This window comes from Homo sapiens, chromosome 5 (genome assembly GCF_000001405.40).
Source record: "Homo sapiens chromosome 5, GRCh38.p14 Primary Assembly".
NCBI classification, from domain to species: domain Eukaryota; kingdom Metazoa; phylum Chordata; class Mammalia; order Primates; family Hominidae; genus Homo; species Homo sapiens.
In genome coordinates, this window is record NC_000005.10 from 14,053,639 (window position 1) to 14,056,099 (window position 2,461).

Consider the following 2,461-nt stretch of genomic DNA (forward strand, 5'->3'; position numbering starts at 1 on the left):
TGATCCTGACCCTGTGTGGGCCTAGGCTAATGTGTGTATTTGTGACTTCGTTTTTAACAAAAAAGTTTAAAAAGTAAAAAAATTTGGCCAGGCACGGTGGCTCACACCTGTAATCCCAGTCCTTTGGGAGGCCGAGGCAGGCAGATCACCTGAGGTCAAGAGTTTGAGACCAGCCTGGCCAACATGGTGAAACCCTGTCTCTACTAAAAATACAAAAATTAGCCGGGTGTGGTGGCGGGTGCCTGTAATCCCAGCTACTCGGGAGGCTGATGCAGGAGAATCGCTTGAAACCAGAAGCCAGAGGTTGGCAGTGAGCCGAGATTGTGCCACTGCACTCCAGCCTGGGCAAAATGGCGAAACTCCATCTCAAAAAAAAAAAAGTTAAAAAGTTAAAAATTGTAAAAATAGAAAAACTCTTCTAAAATAAGGATATAAAGAAAAAATATTTTTGGACAGCTGTACAATCTGCTTAAAGCTAAGTAGGTATTACAAATAAGTCTAAAAGTTCATAAATTTAAAAAGTTACAGTAAGCTAACGTTAATTTATTATTGAAGAAAGAAAATCTTTTATAACTTTGGTGTAGCCTAAGTGTACAATGTTTATAAAGTCTACAGTCATGTACAGCAATGTCCTAGGCCTTCACATTCATTCCTCACTCACTCACCGACTCAGCCAGCACAGCTTCCAGTTCTGCAAGCTCCATTCATGTTCTGTATATGTGAACCATTTTTCATCTTTTATACTGCATTTTTACCGTACCTTTTCTGTGTTTAGATGTGTTTAGATACACAAATTCTTACTATTGTGTTACAATTGCCTATGGTATTCAGTACAGTAACATGCTGTACAGGTTTGTAGCCTAAGGAGCAATACGCTATACCACATAGCCTAGGTGTATAGTAAGTTATTCCATCTAGGTTTGTGTAAGTACATTCCGTGATGTTCGCATAACAATGAAATTGCCTAACGACACATTTCCCATAATAGTATCCCCATGATTAAGCAACCCATCACTGTATATATATTCTATTGGTTCTGTTTAAACTGAGGACCCTGACTAATGCATCAAGCAAGTGCAATGAAGTGAGAGAGAAGGGACAGAGATGTTTACAACCAACTGAAGGTGCAATTTCAGCAGGATAAGGAGGGATGTGAACACCCAAGAGCGACAGGGTAAATTCCTGGGGGTAAGCTCAGTGGATTGTGATCCCGTGGGCTTGAAGGATTGCTGGAGGGGGGCATTATAGGGAGTTACAAAGTCAATTCTAAACACTTTCCAATTAACATTACACAACATAAATACTGAAACAGCTGTTTCCATTTTTCTCCAGACTTGCAAAGGTAAGACTGCTGCTACAAAGGCCCGGCAGACAGTGCCACTCTTCCCTCCTGGAGCCCAGGCAGAAGGCAGCCTCAGAAGGTTGGGGTGGGAGGTGGGAAGGAAATGGGCTGCCTTCAGCAATAGTGCAGATGTGGAGTAAGAAGGGCCCAGGAGAGCCACTCACACCCCACCAAGCATCGTGGAGATCCAGGGACTTTCCCATAGCCCTGCAAGGGCCAAGTAGTAACTGAGAATTCCCTCAGGGTGCCTGCTGGGGGTCACCTGTACTGGAGCAGAGGAGCACATTGGCCAGGGGTGACAGCTCAGGGATGGGAGCCAGAAGGACGTTGTGGCTGGGTGACCAGGCAGCAGGGCAGGGGCGCAAGCTCCCTGGGAGTACCCAGTATGCAGAGAAAGTAAGACGAGGTTCCACCCAAAGAAGAGACCAAGTATGAGGACACATAGCTCCTCCCAGGCCAGCTCAGAGGACCAGCTGCCTGAGGACAATGCCTCAATGTTCCAGAAACTTCTCCCTGCCCCAGGGACTTCTCTGGGTGGAGAAGGATTACTCAGGGACTTCTGATGAGAGGAGAAATCATGAAGGTGAGAAACTTTCATAAGAACTTCAAACTTTGAAATGAGTGAGAAATTTACTCAAAAGAGGCTTTCGTCTTTAAACAGAAAATACAGAATTACCTTGAGTGGCAAGATTGCTTTTCCGAGTGAAAACAGAGAATGACTGTTACGGAGATTTTTTTCCACTGAAAGGAAAAGGCTCATATAACAAATTCCAGAAATCTGGTTACCCTTCTGCATATCTGAGTGGTGACTCTCAATTCTCATTGCTCTACATGCAAATGAAGCCATGCTATATAAAACAGCTCTTCATGTTGACAGAATTATAAAATAATATTGGAATAGGAAGAGGCCTCAGGTCATCTAATTTAATGGTTCTCAACTGAGAGCGATTTTGCCCCCCAGGGAACATTTGACCCCACCTGGAGACATTTTTCATTGTCACAACTTGAGAGGTGCTGCTGGTATCTAGTGAGTGGAGGCCAGGGATGCGGCTAAACATCACCCGATGCATAGGACGGCCCCCCTGAACAAAGAATTCTGTGTTCCCCAGTGTCAGTAGT

At 44.4% G+C, this 2,461-nt stretch overlaps 1 annotated feature.

The window, feature by feature from the left end:
- Positions 1,636 to 2,136: an enhancer, noted in NCBI's record as "H3K4me1 hESC enhancer chr5:14055383-14055883 (GRCh37/hg19 assembly coordinates)". NCBI's record gives its function as "activates a minimal SCP1, AML or CMV promoter by ChIP-STARR-seq in primed H9 embryonic stem cells {active_cell/tissue: H9 hESC(primed)}" and the evidence as "EXISTENCE:reporter gene assay evidence [ECO:0000049][PMID:30033119]".